Here is a 22,406-nt window from a genome sequence, read left to right on the forward strand (position 1 = left end):
GCAGTCAGATCTGGATTTATCGCCTCCATCTCTGTCCTGTTGTGCAAGTCATTTAACATCTCTGAGTCTCAGTAGCTCATCTTTAAAGTTAGAATAATCGCACCTCATAAAAATTTTTGTGAGGACTTTAAAAGATACTATGTAATGTGCTTACACAATGCCAAGCACATGGCAGACACCTAATAAAACATCAAGTTCTCTCTTTTCCCCTTGCCTTCGGGATAGAAAGTGTTCTCATATGGAATAGAAATTAAGAATCTATCAGATAGTATTAAGGTGACATTACTAGCCTTATCTCATTTCCCCGTGCTTAGTATATTTCATCATAGGTTTAAATGCTTCACCTTTTCCAGATTTATTAAAACTAGTGACCCATAACATGGATGAAATGGGAAAATGTCATTGTGACTTCTGAAATAAAAAGCTTAGATGTGTGTGGCAATTGAACATGTTTCTTTTTCTTTCCATGTATGATGAATTTTGATATGAACAACATGACTTCCTAACTCCAAATCAACCAGAAGCCTCCCTTGGCCAATGTGCCCTATTGCTCCAGCTCTCAGGCTGGTTGTGCAGTGGGTAGTTGCCTAGCGTGGAACTTTTCTTTCGCCCCAGTTCACATCTGGCACACAAGGCAGGCCTCAGTCCATCTGGATCCCTCCCTACATTGTGTCCTTTTTCCTTGTTCCACAGACTTGATTAACTGTCAAAATGTTTTGTTTTGTTTTGTTTTGTTTTGTTAATAGGACCTGCTGCAGCTACAGTATGAAGGAGTTGCAGTCATGAAATTATTTGATAGAGCTAAAGTAAATGTCAACCTCCTGATCTTCCTTCTCAACAAAAAGTTCTACGGGAAGTAATTGATCGTTTGCTGCCAGCCCAGAAGGATGAAGGAAAGAAGCACCTCACAGCTCCTTTCTAGGTCCTTCTTTCCTCATTGGAAGCAAAGACCTAGCCAACAACAGCACCTCAATCTGATACACTCCCGATGCCACATTTTTAACTCCTCTCGCTCTGATGGGACATTTGTTACCCTTTTTTCATAGTGAAATTGTGTTTCAGGCTTAGTCTGACCTTTCTGGTTTCTTCATTTTCTTCCATTACTTAGGAAAGAGTGGAAACTCCACTAAAATTTCTCTGTGTTGTTACAGTCTTAGAGGTTGCAGTACTATATTGTAAGCTTTGGTGTTTGTTTAATTAGCAATAGGGATGGTAGGATTCAAATGTGTGTCATTTAGAAGTGGAAGCTATTAGCACCAATGACATAAATACATACAAGACACACAACTAAAATGTCATGTTATTAACAGTTATTAGGTTGTCATTTAAAAATAAAGTTCCTTTATATTTCTGTCCCATCAGGAAAACTGAAGGATATGGGGAATCATTGGTTATCTTCCATTGTGTTTTTCTTTATGGACAGGAGCTAATGGAAGTGACAGTCATGTTCAAAGGAAGCATTTCTAGAAAAAAGGAGATAATGTTTTTAAATTTCATTATCAAACTTGGGCAATTCTGTTTGTGTAACTCCCCGACTAGTGGATGGGAGAGTCCCATTGCTAAAATTCAGCTACTCAGATAAATTCAGAATGGGTCAAGGCACCTGCCTGTTTTTGTTGGTGCACAGAGATTGACTTGATTCAGAGAGACAATTCACTCCATCCCTATGGCAGAGGAATGGGTTAGCCCTAATGTAGAATGTCATTGTTTTTAAAACTGTTTTATATCTTAAGAGTGCCTTATTAAAGTATAGATGTATGTCTTAAAATGTGGGTGATAGGAATTTTAAAGATTTATATAATGCATCAAAAGCCTTAGAATAAGAAAAGCTTTTTTTAAATTGCTTTATCTGTATATCTGAACTCTTGAAACTTATAGCTAAAACACTAGGATTTATCTGCAGTGTTCAGGGAGATAATTCTGCCTTTAATTGTCTAAAACAAAAACAAAACCAGCCAACCTATGTTACACGTGAGATTAAAACCAATTTTTTCCCCATTTTTTCTCCTTTTTTCTCTTGCTGCCCACATTGTGCCTTTATTTTATGAGCCCCAGTTTTCTGGGCTTAGTTTAAAAAAAAAATCAAGTCTAAACATTGCATTTAGAAAGCTTTTGTTCTTGGATAAAAAGTCATACACTTTAAAAAAAAAAAAAACTTTTTCCAGGAAAATATATTGAAATCATGCTGCTGAGCCTCTATTTTCTTTCTTTGATGTTTTGATTCAGTATTCTTTTATCATAAATTTTTAGCATTTAAAAATTCACTGATGTACATTAAGCCAATAAACTGCTTTAATGAATAACAAACTATGTAGTGTGTCCCTATTATAAATGCATTGGAGAAGTATTTTTATGAGACTCTTTACTCAGGTGCATGGTTACAGCCCACAGGGAGGCATGGAGTGCCATGGAAGGATTCGCCACTACCCAGACCTTGTTTTTTGTTGTATTTTGGAAGACAGGTTTTTTAAAGAAACATTTTCCTCAGATTAAAAGATGATGCTATTACAACTAGCATTGCCTCAAAAACTGGGACCAACCAAAGTGTGTCAACCCTGTTTCCTTAAAAGAGGCTATGAATCCCAAAGGCCACATCCAAGACAGGCAATAATGAGCAGAGTTTACAGCTCCTTTAATAAAATGTGTCAGTAATTTTAAGGTTTATAGTTCCCTCAACACAATTGCTAATGCAGAATAGTGTAAAATGCGCTTCAAGAATGTTGATGATGATGATATAGAATTGTGGCTTTAGTAGCACAGAGGATGCCCCAACAAACTCATGGCGTTGAAACCACACAGTTCTCATTACTGTTATTTATTAGCTGTAGCATTCTCTGTCTCCTCTCTCTCCTCCTTTGACCTTCTCCTCGACCAGCCATCATGACATTTACCATGAATTTACTTCCTCCCAAGAGTTTGGACTGCCCGTCAGATTGTTGCTGCACATAGTTGCCTTTGTATCTCTGTATGAAATAAAAGGTCATTTGTTCATGTTTGTGTTTTTCTCAGTTTCATTGTTAACAGTTCCTGCTAAACACCTTGACTAGAGTGAGATGTATCAGTTAAAATCACAACAGCAGACAACCCCTTCCTTTTAAAGGAGAAAACGTAAGTCCACCATCAGATCATTGAATGTCTCAAAGTGACTTTTAATGTGTGAACGTGTGACTTTAGCCTTTTTAATGAATATGCTTAAGTTATCTTCACCATAAAAAGAAGGGTGTTGCGGGAAGCAAACATTATATGTCACTTAATTCTGATTGACGAACGGTGGAAAGTTTAAAATTGCAACAGCATTTAACCTTTTTTGACCAGCATACTGTTGTTGAGCACATAGACTGTGCCCCTTAGGGGGTTCCTATGTCACTTGGAAGTCACCAGAAAAGACTAGGGGATGTTGAATGTGGAAAAAGTAAATCACAGCAGTAAAAAAAGAAGAAAAGGGGCTGGCGTAGTGGCTCACACCTGTAATCCCAACACTTTAGGAGGCCGAGGCGGGCCGGATCACCTGAGATCAGGAGTTTTAAGACCAGCCTGGCCAACATGACGAAACCCCTACTAAAAATACAAAAATTAGCTGGGTGTGGTGGCACACGCCTGTAATCCCAGCTACTCAGGAGGCTGAGGTAGGAGAATCACTTGAAGCTGGAGGCGGAGGTTGCAGTGAGCCAAGATCACACCACTGCTGTCCAGCCTGGGAGACAGAGCGAGACTCCATCTCAAAAAGAAAAGAAAAGGCTTCCTTGTCAGAGGGCAGCCTTACTTAAAAATACAAACATGTACATAAGCATCCTGTTGTGTTGGTAAACTGTGGCCAGACTATATTGGAAAATTAGTGACAGGTTGAAATAAGGGGGGAAACGGAATAATTCTAAAATAGGGAAAATGAAAAATTGGAGGTGATGGTTTGTACGAGTGGTTGGAGATGACCGCATGCTCCTCTGAGGAAGAGTGAGGGGAAGAGCATGGCTCTCCTGGTGGGACTCTGGAAGGTACCCTTCTGAGCCCCAGGTTTCTCGTTCTGAAATGGAAAGGATGCTGTCTGGTAGCTTTGTTATTGAAACCTGAAATATTTTAATAATATGCTCTATATTGTCCTGCAAAGAAATCAAGGGAGTTAGAAAAGTGCTTATCAGGACTGGGTGCAGTGGCTCATGCCTGTAATCCCAGCACTTTGGGAGGCCAAGGCGGGTGGATCACAAGGTCTGGAGATCGAGACCATCCTGGCCAAGATGGTGAAACCCTGTCTCTACTAAAAACTACAAAAAAAATTAGCTGGGCGTGGTGGCGCATGCCTGTAGTCCCAGCTACTCAGGAGAATGAGGCAGGAGAATCGCTTGAACCTGGGAGACAGAGGCTGCAGTGAGCCGAGATCATGCCACTGCACTCCAGCCTGGGGGACAGAGCGAGACTCTGTCTCAAAAAAAAAAAAAAAAAAGAAAAGTGCTTATCGGCCGGGCACGGTGGCTCACACCTGTAATCCCAGCACTTTGGGAGGCCGAGGCAGGGAGATCACGAGGTCAAGAGATCGAGACCATCCTGGGTAACACGGTGAAACCCCATCTCTACTAAAAATGCAAAAAATCAGCTGGGCTTGGTAATGGGTGCCTGTAGTCGCAGCTACTCAGGAGGCTGAGGCAGAAGAATGGCATGAACCCGGGAGGTGGAGCTTGCAGTAAGCTGAGATCGTGCCACTGCACTCCAACCTGGGCAACAGAGCGAGACTCCATCTCAAAAAAAAAAAGCTTATCAAGGTATAGCAACATTAAATAAGAAAAATAAGAGGGAAAATCAGAGTAGGGGCTGGACGTGGTGGCTCACACCTGTAATCCCAGCGCTTTGGGAAGCCAAGGCGGGTGGATCGCTTGAGATCAGAAGTTGGAGACAAGCCTGGCCAACATGTTGAAACCCTGTTTCTACCAAAGATACAAAAATTAGCCCGCGTGGTGGTGCGCACCTGTAGTCCCAACTACTTAAGAGGCTGAGGCGGAAGGATTGCTTGAGCCTAGGAGGTTGAGGCTTGTGGTAAGCCATGATTGCACCACTGCACTCCATCCTGAGTAACAGCAACACCCTGTCTCACAAAAAACAAAAAGAAAAAAAAGTAGGAAAGTAAGATGGAACCCAGAGCAATGGCAGAGTGAATGCCATGGAGTCCCAGCTGCTGCTGGTGGTGCCACTGCACCAACGGGGAGGGAGACGGGGTTGTCACAGCCCTGCTGCTCATTCTTTTGCCTGTGTATCCCTGAAAATAATTTGGGAAAACGTATACATCCCTTCACACATTTTAAGTTTGACAAATACATTTTTAATGTTTAAATCAAGAGTACCTGCTAGCATGTGAATTTTAATATAAAAATGACCATAAAAATATCGAATGGAACCCACCTTCATTCATTTTTAAAGGTACATGAACAAAGCTCTTAGTTGGAAATTTCTTTTTTATTTCTTTTTTATTTTATTTTATTTATTTTTGTTTGAGACAGAAGTCTTGCTCTGTCGCCCAGGCTGGAGTGCAGTGGCGTGTTCTCGGCTCACTGCAACCTCCACTTCCCAGGTTCAAGCGATTCTCCTGCCTCAGCCTCCTGAGTAGCTGGGACTACAGGCGGCTGCCACCACACCTGGCTAATTTTTTGTGTTTTTAGTAGAGACGGAATTTCACCATGTTAGGCAGGTCTCAAACTCCTGACCTCAAGTGATCCGCCCACCTCGGCCTCCCAAAGTGCTGGGATTACAGGTGTGAACCACTATGCCTGCCCCTGGAAATTTTAAATCTTTACAAATTTAACGTTTTTTTTCTCTACTCTGCTTCCTTCAGAATTTTACCCTAGTGAAATATTTTAAAGGACATCTTATTTTTGGTCATCTGTAACAAAAATAAAAATTTGTTTTCGTGACCATAAGCCTATTAACCCAATCTAGAAAAACATTTTGCATAGTTACAGTTATTAGTGCATATTTGATTGCAGTAATTTTTTTTTTTTTTTTTTTTTTGAGTTGGAGTCTTGCTCTGTCGCCCAGGCTGGAGTACAATCTTGGCTCACCACAACCTCCGCCTCCCAGGTTCAAGCAATTGTCCTGCCTCAGCCACCCGAGTAGCTGGGATTACAGGAGCCCTCCACCACGCCTGGCTAATTTTTGTATTTTTAGTAGAGATGAGGTTTCACCGTACTGGCCAGGCTGGTCTCTTGGCTAGGCTGGTCTCGAACTCCTGACCTCGTGATCCGCCCACCTCGGCCTCCCAAAGTGCTGTGATTACAGGTGTGAGCCACCGCACCCGGCCCAGTAATGTAATATTTTATCTTGACAATTCTAAAAGATATTTGAAATGCATTTTTTTATTTTGTCATTGGTATCTAATGAAATGCATTTATTGATGAGATAAATGAAAGTCTTTTAAAATGAAAGTTTAAAAACATGGTAGACAAATATTCTTGCTAGAATGAGATGGGGCTCATGACCAATTCTATTTCTATTTTTCATTTTTATAACTGTAAGCTCCGAGAAACATTGGGGTGTTTCATTACAGCAGTGTCACACATTTCTCAGGACTCCTTAGTAACTAATCCAAAAGACTCAATGATTTATAATAAGTTATAACATGAATAGGTTCTCCAACTTTGTTGAAAGCAAAAGTTAAAAAAAGATAATTACCTAATTTGGAGAATTTATTATGCATGCAAACATTATTCACTTTCTCAGGACTTGGGAAGTAGACAAGGGGATTTACCAAGACTTTTAAAGTAACCCAATTATAACTCTTTTTTTCTTTTTTTTTTTTTTGAGATGGAGTCTCGCTCTGTCGCCAGGCGGGAGTGCAGTGGCGTGATCTCGGCTCACTGCAATGTCTGCCTCCCGGGTTCAAGCCATTCTCCTGCCTCAGCCTCCAGAGTTGCTGGGATTACAGATGCCCGCCACCACGCCCAGCTAATTTTTGTATTTTTAGTAGAGATGGTGTTTCACCATGTTGGCCAGGATGGTCTCTATCTCCTGACCTCGTGATCTGCCCGCCTCGGCCTCCCAAAGTGCTGGGATTACAGGCATGAGCCGCGGCGCCAGCCTATACTCATAACTCTTTAACTTAAAGATAGCTTATTTAATCCAATATGTTAATACGCTTGGGAAAACAGAAATATTTTAATACTCCTTTGGTACTATAATTTTTTAACTTTTATTGCAGGGAACTTTCAACATATAAACGGGGAATAATGTAATGAGCACCCATGTGTCCATCATGCAGCCCAGCAATTATCAACACACAGTTAAGCTTATTTCACCTGTACCTCTGCCCAAACCCTCTTGGGTTACTTTGACAAAACCCAGGTATAGTATCATTTCAACCATAAATACTGCAGTACATGTCTCTAACACAGTTTTTTTTTTTTTTAATCACAGAAGATATTTGGCTGTTTGGAAATATTTTTAATTGGCCTGACGAAAGAGGTGCTACTGGCATCTAGTGGGTAGAGGTGAGGGATGCCACTTGACATCTTTCAGTGCAACAGGACAGCCCACTGCAACCAAGAATGATCCAGCCTCAAATATTAATAATGCCTGGGGTGAGACGCTGCTCTTACAGATAAGGACTTAAAAAAAATCCCCATCCCATCATCACACCTAACAAATTATTTTAAAATATCAAATTATTTTAAAATATCACACCGTTTAAATATCACCATTTACATTTTTAATTTAAATTTTTAAATTTTAAAATATCACCGTTTAAATTTCCCCATTCATCTTATCATTGTTCAGTTTGTATTTTTGAATCAGGTGCCAGACAAGATCCATGCATTACATTTAGTTGATAGGTCTCTTAAATATCTTTTCCTTTTCTTTTTTTTTTTGAGACAGAATCTCACTCTGTTGCCCAGGCTGGAGGGCAGTGGCTTGATCTCAGCTCACTGCAACCTCAGCCTCCCAGGTTCAAGTGATTCTCCTGCCTCAGCCTCCCGAGTACCTGGGATTACAGGTGACTGCCACCACACCCGGCTAATTTTTTATTATTTTTAGTACAGACGGGGTTTTGCCATATTGGCCAAGCTGGTCTCAAATTCCTGACCTCAAATGATCCGCCTGCCTCGGCCTCCCAAAGTGCTGGGATTTTACAGGTGTGAGCCACCACGCCCGGCCATATATAATTTTTTGAATGCTCAAATTGTCCCCTCTTTGACCAATAAATTTCCTTCACAGTGACTGTTGAGTACTTTTGACGTGACCCTAGTAATCTTTGATAGTTTCCTTGATTTCTAGCATAAGACGTTCCAGGCTCATCTTATTGCATTTCTCAGCCCCAGACCTGGAATCCACCATTTTTCTGTGGAGCCCTGGTTACTGTTAGCGGGTAATGGTATTTCAAGGATGCAGTCTGGGTGGGTGCTAGGGGTGTTCCTCACCGTTAGATTGGTCATTGTGTCCTTTTTTTTTTTTTTTTTTTCTAGAGACAGGGTATCGTTCTGTCACCCAGGCTGGAGTTCAGTGGCGTGATCTTGGCCCACTGCTACTTCCACCTCTTGGGTTCAAGCAGTTTCTCTGCCTCAGACTCCTCAGTAGCTGGGATACAGGCATGTGCCGCCATGTCCAGCTAATTTTTGTATTTTTTAGTAGATATGGGGTTTCACTAAGTTGTCCAGGCTGATCTCAAACTCCTGACCTCAAGTGATCTCCCTGCCTCAGCCTCCCAAAGTGTTGGGTTTATGGGAGTGAGCCACCGCACCCAGCCTTTTTTTTTTTTTTCCTTGCAATGTATTTGATGCTAATCCTGTAGAATCACATTCTGGGTTTCTCATGTCATCCTGTGGATCAGACTCAGTTTCAATCTTGTGGCAAGAATACTTTGGTTTTCCTATTACATCATGTCAGGGCTTATGTTTTTATGATGTAAAGGCTGATCTTTGGATTCAGATGTTGCCAGCTTGACCCATTCATTATAATTTCCCATCGGCTTTCACCACGTATCACATGGATTCAGCAGCCACTGGTAATGGCTGCCTACATTTATTTATTTATTTATTTTACTTTTTTTTTTTTTTTTTTTTTTTTGAGACAAAGTCTTGCTCTGTTGCCAGGCTGGAGTGCAGTGGCATGAGCTCAGCTAAGAGGCAGGTTCAAGTGATCCTCCTGCCTCAGCCTCCTGAGTAGCTGGAACTACAGGCACGTGCCACCATGCCCAGCTAATTTTTTGTATTTTTATTAGAAACAGGGTTTCACCACATTGGCCAGGATGGTTTCAATCTCTTGACCTCATGATCCGCCCGACTTAGCCTCCCAAAGTGCTGGGATTACAGGCATAAGCCACTGCACCTGGCCTATTTTTTTTAGTATTTTTTCACTTTTTTTAGAGACGAAGTCTCACTATGTTGCCCAGGCTAGTCTCAGACTCCTGTGCTCAAGTGGTCCTCCTGCCTTGGCCTCCCAAGGTCCTGGGATTACAGGCGTGAACCACCATGCCCAGCCTCTTATTTCATTGGGGGTTGCAAAATGGTGATATGCTATTAATATCATTCCTTCTTTATTTAACAGAATTCTCCTTAAAAAAAAAAAAACTTCCTCTCTTCAACTATTTTGTTGCCTTGTAGAACATTCATTCAGGAACAGATGATGAGTGCTTGATTCTCTCCCTTTGTTTACTAGTTTTCAGAATAAGCTGCTTCCCTAGTGGGCTCTAAATGACCAGGGAGCCTTTGTTTTTCAAAAATCATAATGAACCCCTGGCTTTTTAATATATTCCATGTCTTTCAATCCACTGTATGTATATCGATATACATATTCATAAAAATTCTTTTTTTTCTTGAGATGGAGTCTCACTCTGTCTTCCAGGCTGGAGTACAATGGCACGATCTCAGCTCACTGCAACCTCTGCCTCCCAAGTTCAGGTGATTTCTCCTGCCTCAGCCACCCGAGTAACTGGGATACAGGCATGTGCCACCAAGCCCAGCTAATTTTGTATTTTTAGTAGAGATGGGGTTTCACCATGTTGGCCAGGCTGGTCTCAAACTCCTGACCTCAGATGATCTTGGGATTGCTGGGATTATAGCCGTGAGCCACTGCACCTGGCCTCTAGCTTTTTCTTCTTTTTTTAAATTTTTATTTATTTATTTATTTATTTATTTATTTATTTTTGAGACAGAGTTTCACTCTTGTTGCCCACAGCTGGAGTGCAATGGCACGATCTCGACTCACAGCAACCTCCACCTCCCGGGTTCAAGCAATCCCGAGTAGCTGGGATTACAGACATGCGCCATCACGGCCGGCTAATTTTTTTTTTTTTTTTTAGTAGAGATGGGGGTTTCTCCATGTTGGTCAGGCTGGTCTCGAACTCCCCACCTCAGGTGATCCGCCCTCCTCGGCCTCCTAAAGTTCTGGGATTACAGGCATGAGCCACCACATCCAGCCTAAGCTTTTTCAATGGAAAATTTTTAAAAGAGAAAAACACTTCGTGAGTTTATGACAAAACAATTTTTTAATATAAAATACTTTTACCTAATGTATGTGAGCTCAGTGAAAGGAAAAAGTGCCTTGAGTAGTAGCATTTGCCAATTCTGTGGTATGAATACTTCCCCAAAGCTGATTTCAAGCTACCAACTTGATGTTGTTGGTCACAGAAAGTAGAGCTGAGAAGAGACGCTTGCAATCAGCTCCCATGAGCTAGTATCAATTTTTTTTTTTTTTTTTTTTGAGATGGAGTTTTGCTGTTGTCACCCAGGCTGGAGTGCAGTGGCGCAATCTTGGCTCACTGCAACCTCCGCCTCCCAGGTTCAACAGATTCTCCTGCCTCAGCCTCCTGAGTAGCTGGAATTACAGGTGACTGCCACCACACCAAGCTAATTATTGTATTTCTAGTAGAGACTGGGTTTCACCATGTTGGCCAGGCTGGTCTCGAACTCCTGAACTCAGGTGATCCACCAGCCTTGGCCTTTCAAAGTGCTGAGATTACAGGCATGAGCCACCGCGCCTGGCCGAGTACCAAATTTTATTCCAAGGACGTGGGGCAGGGGGGCAATTGATGGATTTGAAGAAGAGCAAGAAGAGGTCAGAGATGTGCAGGATGGATGAGGGCGGGGAGGCTAGGTGCGAGGTTGTGCTGGATATCTCCTTTTTGTTCGTTGAGATCCATTCTCCACCCCTCACCCTCCCCTGTGCCCTGGGAAGCTGGCCACATGGACGGCATCGCTGTCTCTCTCCAGCTTCTGCGTGGGTTTGGCCAACAGGAAGCACTACCAGGAGACCGGAGGTCTGGAAGAAAGCAATTCTGCCAGGTCACTAGGAATCAGCTGCCTCTCTCTACCAAAGACCAGAGCTCCTGTCAGGCAGCTCCCTTCAGACAACCACCTCTCCCCACTGCAGTAAGCAATCCCACACCCAATTCCCTTCAGGCCTAGAAAGCTAATGATTCCTGCTGTAACTAGCCTCAGGGGGTCCTGCCATATCGCTAAACCCCGCCCTGTCTCTTTATTAACTTCTCTTCAAATTACTCAATTGGATTATGCCACCTGTATTCTGCTGGGTCCCTGACTGATACACAAGAGTGAGAGGTGACAGCGTGCTGGCAGTCCTCACAGCCCTTGCTCGCTCTCGGCGCCTCCTCTGCCTGGGCTCCCACTTTGGCGGCACTTGAGGAGCCCTTCAGCCTGCCGCTGCACTGTGGGAGCCCCTTTCTGGGCTGGCCAAGGCCGGAGCCGGCTCCCTCAGCTTGTGGCGAGGTGTGGAGGTAGAGGCGCTGGCGGGAACCGGGACTGCGCGCGGTGCTTGCCGGCCAGCGTGAGTTCCGGGTGGGCGTGGGCTCCGCGGACCCTGCGCTTGGAGCGGCCGGCTGGCCCCACCGCCCCGGGCAGTGAGGGGCTTAGAACCTGGGCCAGCAGCTTTGTGAATACACCAATCGACACTCTGTTTCTAGCTACTCTGGTGGGGACGTGGAGAACCTTCGTGTAGACACTCTGTATCTAGCTAATCTAGTGGGGACGTGGAGAACCTTTGTGTCTAGCTCAGGGATTGTAAACTCACCAATCAGCGCCCTGGCAAAACAGACCACTGGGCTCTACCAATCAACAGGATGTGGGTGGGGCCAGATAAGAGAATAAAAGCAGGCTGCCGGAGCCAGCAGTGGCAACCCTCTCGGGTCTCCTTCCGCACTGTGGAAGCTTTGTTCTTTTGCTGTTTGGGTCCCCACTGCTTTTATGAGCTGTAACACTCACCGCGAAGGTCTGCAGCTTCACTCCTGAAGACAGCGAGACCACGAGCCCACCAGGAGGAACGAACAACTCCAGATGCGCCACCTTAAGAGCTGTAACACTCACCGTGAAGGTCTGCAGCTTCACTCCTAAGCCAGCGAGACCACGAACCCACCAGAAGGAAGAAACTCCAAACACATCCGAACATCAGAAAGAACAAACTCCAGACGCGCCACTTTAAGAGCTGTAACACTCACCGCAAGGGTCTGCGGCTTCATTCTTGAAGTTAGTGAGACCAAGAACCTACCAATTCCTGACACAAGAGGACCAATTAAGGCCTCAATTAGTGAGGGATTTGGTGGCCTGAATTAGACAGTGGTTGTTAGGATGGAAGAGGTGGTGGGAGAATTCTAGAGGTATTTAGGAAGTAGAATGGATTCACTGAACATTAGGGGAAGGAATAGTGGGGCATAGGGCTGGCAAGTACTCCTGAAGAAGTATTCTGTGATCAAGGAAGTTTGGGAAATGTTGTATTCTGTCATATTTGGAAGTCACAACACATATGTAAAAGCCCTTAGGGCTGGGTATGGTGGCTCACGCCTGTAATTCCAACACTTTGGGAGGCTGAGGCAAGTGGATCACCTGAGGTCAAGAGTTTGAGAACAGCTTGGCCAACATGGTGAGACCTTGGCTCTACTAAAAATACAAAAAATTAGCTGGGCATGGTAGCACGTGCCTGTAGTCTAAGCTACTCAGGAGGCTGAGGTAGGAGAATCTCTTGAACTCAGGAGGCAGATGTTGCAGTGAGCCAAGATCGTGCCATTGCACTCCAGCCTGGGCGACAGAGTGAGACTCTGTCCAAAAAAAAAAAAAAAAAAAAGCTCTGAGAAGTTCTACAGTCAAGAAACTTGCTTAGCTTTGTGTAGCATAGCTTTCCCCAAATGTATCTGACCACACAATCCCCTCCCTCTTACCCTTTAGAAAGCTCCTATTAGCCATCAGTGAAACTCATGTTCCATGGAACACATTCTTCGAAATCCTGGAGAAAAGAGGAAGCTAGAACAGAACCCGACTTTAAGCTTTCAACAAATGGTAAATATTACCTAGGAAACAGAAAAGCAAAAATGTGCATTTGTATGCCACATTTGTCAAAGAATTTTGGACTCCATTCTACATTTCTATTTTGGTAAGTTTGTTTAAAACTTTTGTTCTTAAATTGCAGATACTTGTTCTGTGTAAATTTTGTCCCCACTTGTCTAGAAAATAATTTTGATGTGATGTATAAGAATGTGCACTTGATAAACTTATGATAGTTGCTCATAGCCACTGGCTTTTGTTTCTGGAGAAAAATATTCCCAATGCCTATGGGGACGGAGGTACAGAGACCTTTATGGTGGGAGCTGAAAAGGCACATGACAGAAAAAATGATGTGATGAGAATTAAAGTCAAACTCCTCCTGTTTAATGCTAACTCAGAGGCCAGGCACGGTGGCTCACACCTGTAATCCCAGCACTTTGGGACGTCAAGGCAGGTGGATCACCTGAGGTCAGGGGTTTGAGACCAGCCTGGCCAACATAATGAAACCCTGTCTGTACTAAAAATACAAAAACTTAGCTTGGTGTGGCAGTGCATGCCTGTAGTTCTAGCTACTCCGTAGGCTGAGGCAGGAGAATCACTTGAACCTGGGAGGGAGAGATTGCAGTGAGCCGAGACCAAGCCACTGCACTCCAGCCTGGGTGACAGTGAGACTCCGCCTCAGAAAAAAAAAAAAGCAAAGCAAAAAAAAAAAGCTAACTCAGAACTAGCTCCCAGAAAAAAAGGAGAACCAGTGTCCAAACACCCTTCTCCACTAAAAGGAACCAGGGCTCCATGGAGAAATGGCTGATTCTGGGGCCAAGCAGACAAAGTACAACATGAGCCTAAAATATTGGGTGCCTAGACAGGAAGAAATACTAAAAAAAATGGAAACATGGTAAAAGGATGCAGACAGTAAATCTGGGATAATTTTAAGTACTAAAATAATAACAGTAGTTGCAGGGGTCTGTCCCGCAGACCCAACAACAGATGAATAAAGTACACTGACACAGATATTCTGCTTTGCCAGTCCAGCTGAGCATCTGGGCCACTTACAGACTCCAAGAAGAGTGCTATAAAGAGTAGCAGCCGTGGCCTCCACCATCCAGGGAGACTCACATTTGTTCAGTAAAGATTAATTGACAAAGGCTTGAGTCAACACAGCTAGAGGGTAATTGACATTGCCAACCTCCTGAGTAGAAAGCAATTAAGCACCCACAGTAGATCAAAGGTTAGTCTTAGGACCACATGAGTAAACAAGCTAGTTTAGATAAACTCCCCCACATTTCTTTGTATCTACTTTAATCTATTTAAAGGTAAAGGGACTAGGCTGCCTTCAGCCAGATCTATTACCACAATTATGCAAACTCTCAGGCCTTCCAAGAGGGTTTGTGGCTATTATAACTAAAATTTTTCCCACCAGCCTGACTGAACCCCAACCAGTAATGAATTATAACCCATTAAAATTAGAATTCATGAGTCCATTCTGATATAAACAAATAAATGGGAAAGGGGCAATAATTATCAATGCATACTAAAACTAGTGGGTACAAGCTTGTGGAATAACAGGATTTTTAAATTTTATTTATTTATTTATTTATTTATTTATTTATTTATTTATTTTTGAGACAGGATCTAGCTCTGTCACCCAGGCTGGAGTGCAGTGGTGTGATCTCACCTCACTATAACCTCCACCTCCCAGGCTCAAGCAATCCTCCCACCTCAGCCTCTTCAGTAGCTGGGACCACAGGCACACGCCACCGTGCCTGGCTAATTTTTGTATTTTTTGTAGAGATGGGGTTTTGCCATCTTGCCCAGCCTGGTCTTGAACTGCTGAGCTCAAACAATCCTCCTGCCTCAGCCCGAATAACAGGATGTTTATATCATCTCAGATTATCCCCCTTCGAGATACTTACTGATTACAAAAAGAAATAATAGAAATTTTATAGTGGGCCGGGTGTGGGGGCTCACACCTCTAATCCTAGCACTTTGAGAGGCCGAGGTAGGTGGGTCACGAGGTCAGGAGTTCAAGACCAGCCTGGCCAAGACGGTGAAACCCTGTCTCTACTAAAAATACAAAAAAATTGGCCAGGCGTGATGACACGCACCTATATTCCCAGCTACTCAAGAGGCTGAGGCAGGAGAATTGCTTGAACCCGGAAGGTGGAGGTTGCAGTGAGCCAAGATCATGCCACTGTGCTCCAGCCTGGGCAACAGACAGACCAAGACTCTGTCTCAAAAAAAAAAAAAAAAAAAGAAAGAAATTCTATATTGGAGAAACCTGGCAGACATCACCTTAACCAAATGATCCAAGTTTAATATCAGTAATGGGACACCTTGACATCGTGTCCCTCCTGATATGGCTAAAGTGAGAACACAGCGTTGCTCCTGTGTGATTCCTGCCAAAAGTGCATAATCTGAAAAGAATCATGAACAAACATAAGACAAACCCTAATTAAGGAATATTCTACAAAATAACTGACCTGTCACTTCAGAAATTTTTGGTCATAAAAGACAAATAGACTGAACAACTGTTCCAGATTAAAGTATCCTAAAGAGACATGATACCTGAATATGATGAGTTGTCCTAGAGTGTCGTTTGCCATAAAGAATATTATTGGGGTGGGGCACAGTGGCTCACGCCTGTAATCCCAGCACTTTCGGAGGCTGAGGATGGCAGATCACTTGAGGTTAGGGGTTTGAAACCAGCCTGGTCAACATGGTGACACCCCGTCTCTACTAAAAATACAAAAATCAGTTGGGCATGGTGGCAGTCACCTGTAATCCCAGCTACTCGGGAGGCTGAGGCAGGAGAATTGTTTGAATCCAGGAGGCAAAGGTTGCAGTGAGCTGAGATTGTGCCACTGCACTCCAGCCTGGGTGACGGAGACTCCGTCTCAAGACAAAAAAAAAAAAAAAAAAAAAAAGAATATTATTGGGAATTGAGACACTGAGCCAAAATTTTAATAATATCTATAAATTAGATAATAGTATTATACAATGTTAATAATTTCCTGACTTTGATAATTATGCTGTGATTATGTAAGAGAATATTCTTGTTTTTATGAAATAAAGTATTTAGGAGTAAAGGAGCATCGTATCAACTTACTCTTAAATGGTTTAGAAAAAAATGAACATATAGAGAGAGAAATGATGAAACTAGTACAGTAAAATGTTAACATTTGGAGGACCTGGGTAAAGAGTATATAGGAATTCTTTGTGTTATTGCAACTTTTCTTTAAGTCTGAAATTACACAAAAATAAAAAGTTTTGTTTTTGATTTTGTTTTTGTTTTGAGACGGAGTCTCGCTCTGTCATCCAGGCTGGAGTGCAGTGGCATAATCTCGGCTCCCTGCAACCTCTGCCTGCCGGGTTCAAGTGATTCTCCTGCCTCAGCCTCCCGAGTAGCTGGAATTACAGGCACCTGCCACCAAGCCCGGCTTATTTTTGTATTTTTAGTAGAGACGGAGTTTCATCATGTTGGCCAGTCTGGTGTCGATCTCCTGACCTCAAGTGATCTGCCGGCTTCAGCCTCCCAAAGAGCTGGGATTACAAGCATGAACGACTGCGCCCAGCCAAATAAAAAGTTTTTAAAAGAAATGAGGATCTTTACCTAACCATATCAGGAATAGTTTGGCTACAAGAAATGCAAAAACCAGTGGGGCGTGGTCATGCACACCAGCTACTTGGGAGGCTGAGGCAGAACAATTGCTTGAGCCCAGGAGTTCAAGGCTGTGGTGCACTATGATCGTGCCTGTGGATAGCCACTGCTCTCCAGCCTGGGCTACGTAGTAAGATCTATCAGAAAGAAAGAAAAAGGAAGGAAGAAAGGAAGGAGGAAGGGGAGAAAGGGAGGGGGGTGGGGGAGAGAGAGAGAAAGAGAAGGAAGGAAGGAAAGAAGAAAAGGAAAACTCAGCAGTTTAAACAAACAGGGTTACCTTTATTTTACATAATAAGTTTACAAGAAAACAGTTACAAGTTGATTTAGCTACTCAAAATGTGAACACTGATCGAGCTTGTTTTCTATCATTCTGAATATTGAATGTTTTTATGCTCTCTCTTTTCATGGTTGCAAGGTGGCTCCATTGCTCCAGGCATCATATTTGCATTCAAGATAGAAAGCAGAAAGGGGCTGGTTGCAGCTGGATATGTTCCTTTTTTTTGTTTTGTTTTGTTTTTTTTTGAGATGGAGCCTCATTCTGTCACCCAGGCTGGAGTGCAGTGGCGCGATCTCAGCTCACTGTAAGCTCCGCCTTCCGGGTTCATGCCATTCTCCTGCCTCAGCCTCCCGAATAGCTGGGACTACAGGCACCTGCCACCATGTCCGGCTAATTTTTTGTATTTTTTAGTAGAGACTGGGTTTCACCATGTTAGCCAGAATGGTCTCGATCTCCTGACCTTGTGATCTGCCTGCCTCAGCCTCCCAAAGTGCTGGGATTACAGGCGTGAGCCACCACGCCCGGCCGGATATGCTCCTTTTATCTGAAAACCAAAAGTTTCCTAGAAGCTTTCCAATGGGCTTTCCCCTAAGTCTCAATAACTATGCTGGTCACACTACCTACTCTGTGAGGTGAGGCTGAGAAGTGGTGTCTGTCTTTATGGTGGCTGCAACAGATTACAGGGAGTATTTGCATATCAAGAAGCTGATTATTTTCAATTTCAAAAGTACAGGCCATATTAGTTATTTAACCCAGTCTGTGATTCCATTCTTTTTTCTTTCTTTTTTTTTTTTTTTTTGAGACAGAGTATCACTCTGTTGCCCAGGCTGGAGTGCAGTGGCGTGATCTCCGCTCACTGCAACTTCTGCCTCCAGGGTTCAAACAATTCTCGTGCCTCAGCCTCCCAAGTAGCTCGGATTACAGGCGCCCACCACCTCGCCTGGCTAATTTTTGTATTTTTAGTAGAGATGGGGTTTCACCATGTTGGCCAGGCTGGTCTCAAACTCCTGACCTCAGTTGATCCACCCCTCTCAGCTTGGATTACAGGTGTGAGCCACTGCACCCATCCTCTATGATTCCTTTTTTTTTTTTTTTTTTTTTTGAGACGGAGTCTCGCTCTTGTTGCCCAGGTTGGAATGCAATGGCATGATCTGGGCTCACCACAACCTCTGCCTCCCAGGTTCAAGCGATTCTCCTGCCTCAGCCTCTGGAGTAGCTAGGATTACAGGCATGCACCACGACGGCTGGCTAATTTGTTTTATTTATTTTTAGTAGAGACAGAGTTTCTCCATGTTGGTCAGGCTGGTCTCAAACTCCCGACCTCAGTTGATCCACCCACCTTGGCCTCCCAAAGTGTTGAGATTATAGGTATGGGCCATCACGCCTGACTGATACCATTCTTAACAGCAGTATTTCCTAATGTTTGACCCATAGACCACCTATATCAGAATCATTTGTGATAAAGGCACAATCCTGTGCCCTAGATCAGTAAATCACGGTCTTTGGGTTTGGGAAGTAGGAATACAAAATTTAAACAAACACCTGTATTCCAACAAGGTCATAGACCAAGGTAAAAGGAAACACCTAGAAATGCGGATCCAACATAATGCTGGTTCCAACACAATAGAAATGCACAGTTGAGGCTGGGCGTGGTGGCTCACGCCTGTAATCCCAGCACTTTGGGAGGCTGAGGCAGGTGGATCACCTGAGGTCAGGAGTTTGAGACCAGCCTGGCCAACATGGTGAAACCCTGTCTCTACTAAAAAGCAAAACCTAGCTGGGCGTGGCGGTGGGTGCCTGTAATCCCCGCTACTTGGGAGGCTGAGGCAGGAGAATCACTTGAACTTGGGAGGCGGAGGTTGCATTGAGCTGAGATCACGCCACTGTACTCTAGCCTGGGTGACAAAAGTGAAACTCTGTCTCAAAAGAAAAAAAAACTGCATAGTTGAGTTCACAAGGAAACCCTCAAGTGACTGAAAATCAAATGGTAAATATATGGTTATCTATCCAACAACCCGGGAACTTTAGGTTTTTGCTTGTTTGCTCATTTTAAATGGACTAAAATCCATGCGTTGTCCAGATTTCCCTAGTTTTTACCTTTTTCTCTTCTAGGATCCCACTCAGGATACATTACATTTAGTCATCATGTCATCTTAGGCCCCTCTTTGCTGTGACAGTTGGAGTTCAGTTTTTGACACCCACTTGGTAAAAGGAGATGATGGACTTGCATGAGTCAGGGAGTTAGACCTGGAACCCAAGCCAGGACCCTCAAAAGGTTATACTCAAGGAAAATGTGTGTTTGGGGAGGCAATCCTCTATGGGCCTTGAGAATTCCTGGGCATTCTTGCTAGTTATCCACAAATGCAAAGCTCTGATCACACTTCACTGGGCCATTTATCAGAGTTGTGTTTGCAGTGAGCAACTTTGGGTAATGAGGTTATGTCTTCTTCTGGGACAAAAAGTAGGTTATTCCTCTCCCATAACAGAACAGAACCCATTGTATGTGTAGGCATCCATCTGTATCATTTCTGTGGGACTTGGTGGGCAAGAGGAATTGACACAAAAATGATCCTCATGCTACTTTGTAGTGAGTAATAAAGTCTTTGTCTCCGACCCAGGAATATCATGCCTCCTGCAGTCATCCATGAAAATAGGAACAGGTGTAGGCTAAGTGCTGTGGCTCACACCTATAATCCCAGCACTTTGGGAGGCTGAGAGGGGGCTGATTGCTTGAGCCCAGGAGTTCAAGACCAGCCTGGGTGACATGTGAAACCCCATCTCTACAAAAAGCTACAAAAATTAGCCAGGCATGGTGGTGTGCACCTCTAGTCCCAGCTACTTGGGAGGCTGAGGTGGAAGGATCAGTTGTGCCTGGGAGGTTGAGGCTGCAATGAGCCATCATTGTGCCACTGCACTTCAGCCTGGGTGATACAGCAAGAGACATAGCTATCTAAAAAAAAAAAAAAAAAGTAACAGGTAATGTATTAGTTTGTAAGTAGAGTAAAATTCCAGATCCGAAAAGGTAAAATCTATCCACTGGCAAAGTTAACATGGGAGCTTGACTGTCTCTGGCTGGGCTGTGGGAGGGAAAAAAATAAAAAGCCCTTTGAGAAATCAAAAATCTGCTGTGTATGGTGGCTCACACCTGTAATCTCAACACTTTGGGAAGCTGAGGTGGGGGGACTGCTTGAGCCCAGGAGTTCAAGACCAGCCTGGGCAGCATGGCACGATCCTGTCTTTACAAAAAATAAAAATAAATGAATTGAGAGTGGTGGTACATGTCTGTGCCCCCACCTACTTGGGAGGCTGAGGTGGGAGGATTGCTTGATCCCAGAAGGTTGAGGCTGCAGTGAGCCATGTTCACACCACTGCATTCCAGCCTGGGTGACAGACAGACTCCACCTTTTAAAAAAATGGGTTTTTAGGTATGAATTTATAGGATCCATGTAATAAAATTCCTTTGTCTAGTAACTGATATCCTGTGACTCACGAAACAGAAACAAAACTATACTTGAGTCATATTCCTACTACCCAGGATTCTCACAGGAAAAAAAATTTAAGCCCCCTTAAAGATAGAAGCATAGTTAAAAACATTAGAAAACAATCCACCAGAAGCAACAGCCAGCAGATACAACAAATAGGTTTAGAGCTCCCAAATCCTGAGATAATAGAACTAGATGCTGAGAGAAAATTATAAAAATTAGTATAACTAAAAGCATAAAAGAATTAAAAAATAAGAACAGAGAAGCATTCTAAATAAAAAGGAGGCGGATTTGAAAAGGAATTAAATAGAATTTTCAGATGGGAAAACAGTCTGTGAAGAAGAAAAAATGGTTAAATGTGAACCTGAACATGGTTCACTGCAACCTTGAACTCCTGGGCTCAATAATCCTCCATCCTCAGCCCCCGAGTAGCTGGCACTATAGACATGCACCACCACACTCAGCTAATTATGTTTATTTTTTATTTTGTAGAAATGGGGTCTTGCTAGGTCCAGGCTGGTTTCAAACTCCTGGCCTCAAGTGATCCTCCTGCCTCAGCGTCCCAAAGTGCTGAGATTATAGGCTTGAGCCACTGTGCCCGGCCTGCCTTGACTTTTAACTTCTGTCCAGGTAGGGGCTTTCCAGGGGCAGGCCTAGCCATGGCCCGCCACACAAGGATCAATGGTAATCAACAAAGCAGAACATAGCAAGCTGACACCAAAGTGCCTGAGAACCAAAGTGAAGGGGAAAAGCTAATAAGAAGCAAGCTGATTTCCACTCGAGAACTTCAGAAGGACCAGAGGCACCAAAAGAGGGGAGCGACAGGGCTGAAAGCACAAAGATTGATGGAAACTGTGCAAGGAACAGTTAGATGCCCAGATCCACTCCCCAACTGCTCAAAGCTAGGTGACTACTTCTCCTCTCCCTAACTGTACACAAGATGTGAACTCTGGGGCAATTGAGCCAGAAAGATTCTGCACTTAGGGTGAGACAGGGCAAAAGCTGGGATGGAGGTACCATCTGAAAACAGGGGGATTAAGAGAAAGTCTACACATCAAACACTGAGACCTGCAGCTTCTCTTTTCTCTCTTCCCATTTAGCTCCCAGAACACTAGCAGCCAGGCTTACATACCTGGACAGAAGAATGGACGATTCTTCAGGCAGAAGAAAATTGACCTGTCTGAGAGAAAAATAAACAGAAAAACCCACATATAAACAAAAGAAAACCCAGACCAAACCCTAGAGATACCGATATTTGGGGGACATACGGTGCAAATAGGGCTGGGCGCAGTGGCTCATGCCTGTAATCCCAGCACTTTGTGAGGCCAGAGCAGGCAGATCATGAGGTCAGGAGTTCAAGACCAGCCTGGCCAACATGGTGGAAACCCATCTCTACTAAAAATACAAAAATTAGCCGGGCATGGTGGCACGCGCCGGTGGTCCCAGCTGCTCGAGAGGCTGAGGCAGGAGAATCGCTTGAACCTGGGAGGTGGAGGTTGTGGTAAGCTGAGATCACGCCACTGCACTCCATCCTGGGTAACGGAGCGAGACTCCACCTCAAAAAAAAAAAAAAAAAAAAGCAAATAATTTAGAAATGTATAAAATAGAAGATAAAAGTTGCCCAGGAGTCCCTACGTTCCCAAAGGCAACTATTGTGAGCCACATCTTGATATGTTTATAACAATTTTTCTATTTAAGTATAATGGGTCCGAGTTAAGTTCCTGTAACAAAGGCTAAAATAA

At 43.6% G+C, this 22,406-nt stretch overlaps 1 protein-coding gene across 1 annotated transcript in view, besides 3 other annotated features; it reads left to right on the forward strand.

The window, feature by feature from the left end:
• The window catches only part of IQGAP1 (IQ motif containing GTPase activating protein 1), a 113,998-nt gene extending 111,007 nt beyond the window's left edge, over window positions 1–2,991 (forward strand). The window contains exon 38 of the mRNA NM_003870.4: window positions 747–2,991. Coding sequence (NP_003861.1) covers window positions 747–860 — 114 coding nt within the window. The 3' untranslated portion in view covers window positions 861–2,991. The remainder of the gene's footprint in view (window positions 1–746) is intronic.
• Window positions 11,753–12,252: an enhancer, noted in NCBI's record as "H3K27ac hESC enhancer chr15:91054233-91054732 (GRCh37/hg19 assembly coordinates)". NCBI's record gives its function as "activates a minimal SCP1, AML or CMV promoter by ChIP-STARR-seq in naive H9 embryonic stem cells {active_cell/tissue: H9 hESC(naive)}" and the evidence as "EXISTENCE:reporter gene assay evidence [ECO:0000049][PMID:30033119]".
• Window positions 13,055–13,255: a silencer, noted in NCBI's record as "peak2421 fragment used in MPRA reporter construct". NCBI's record gives its function as "represses an SCP1 promoter by STARR-seq MPRAs in K562 erythroleukemia cells {active_cell/tissue: K562}" and the evidence as "EXISTENCE:reporter gene assay evidence [ECO:0000049][PMID:32103011]".
• Window positions 14,275–14,475: a silencer, noted in NCBI's record as "peak2422 fragment used in MPRA reporter construct". NCBI's record gives its function as "represses an SCP1 promoter by STARR-seq MPRAs in K562 erythroleukemia cells {active_cell/tissue: K562}" and the evidence as "EXISTENCE:reporter gene assay evidence [ECO:0000049][PMID:32103011]".

This window comes from Homo sapiens, chromosome 15 (genome assembly GCF_000001405.40).
Source record: "Homo sapiens chromosome 15, GRCh38.p14 Primary Assembly".
Classification (NCBI taxonomy): Eukaryota; Metazoa; Chordata; class Mammalia; order Primates; family Hominidae; genus Homo; species Homo sapiens.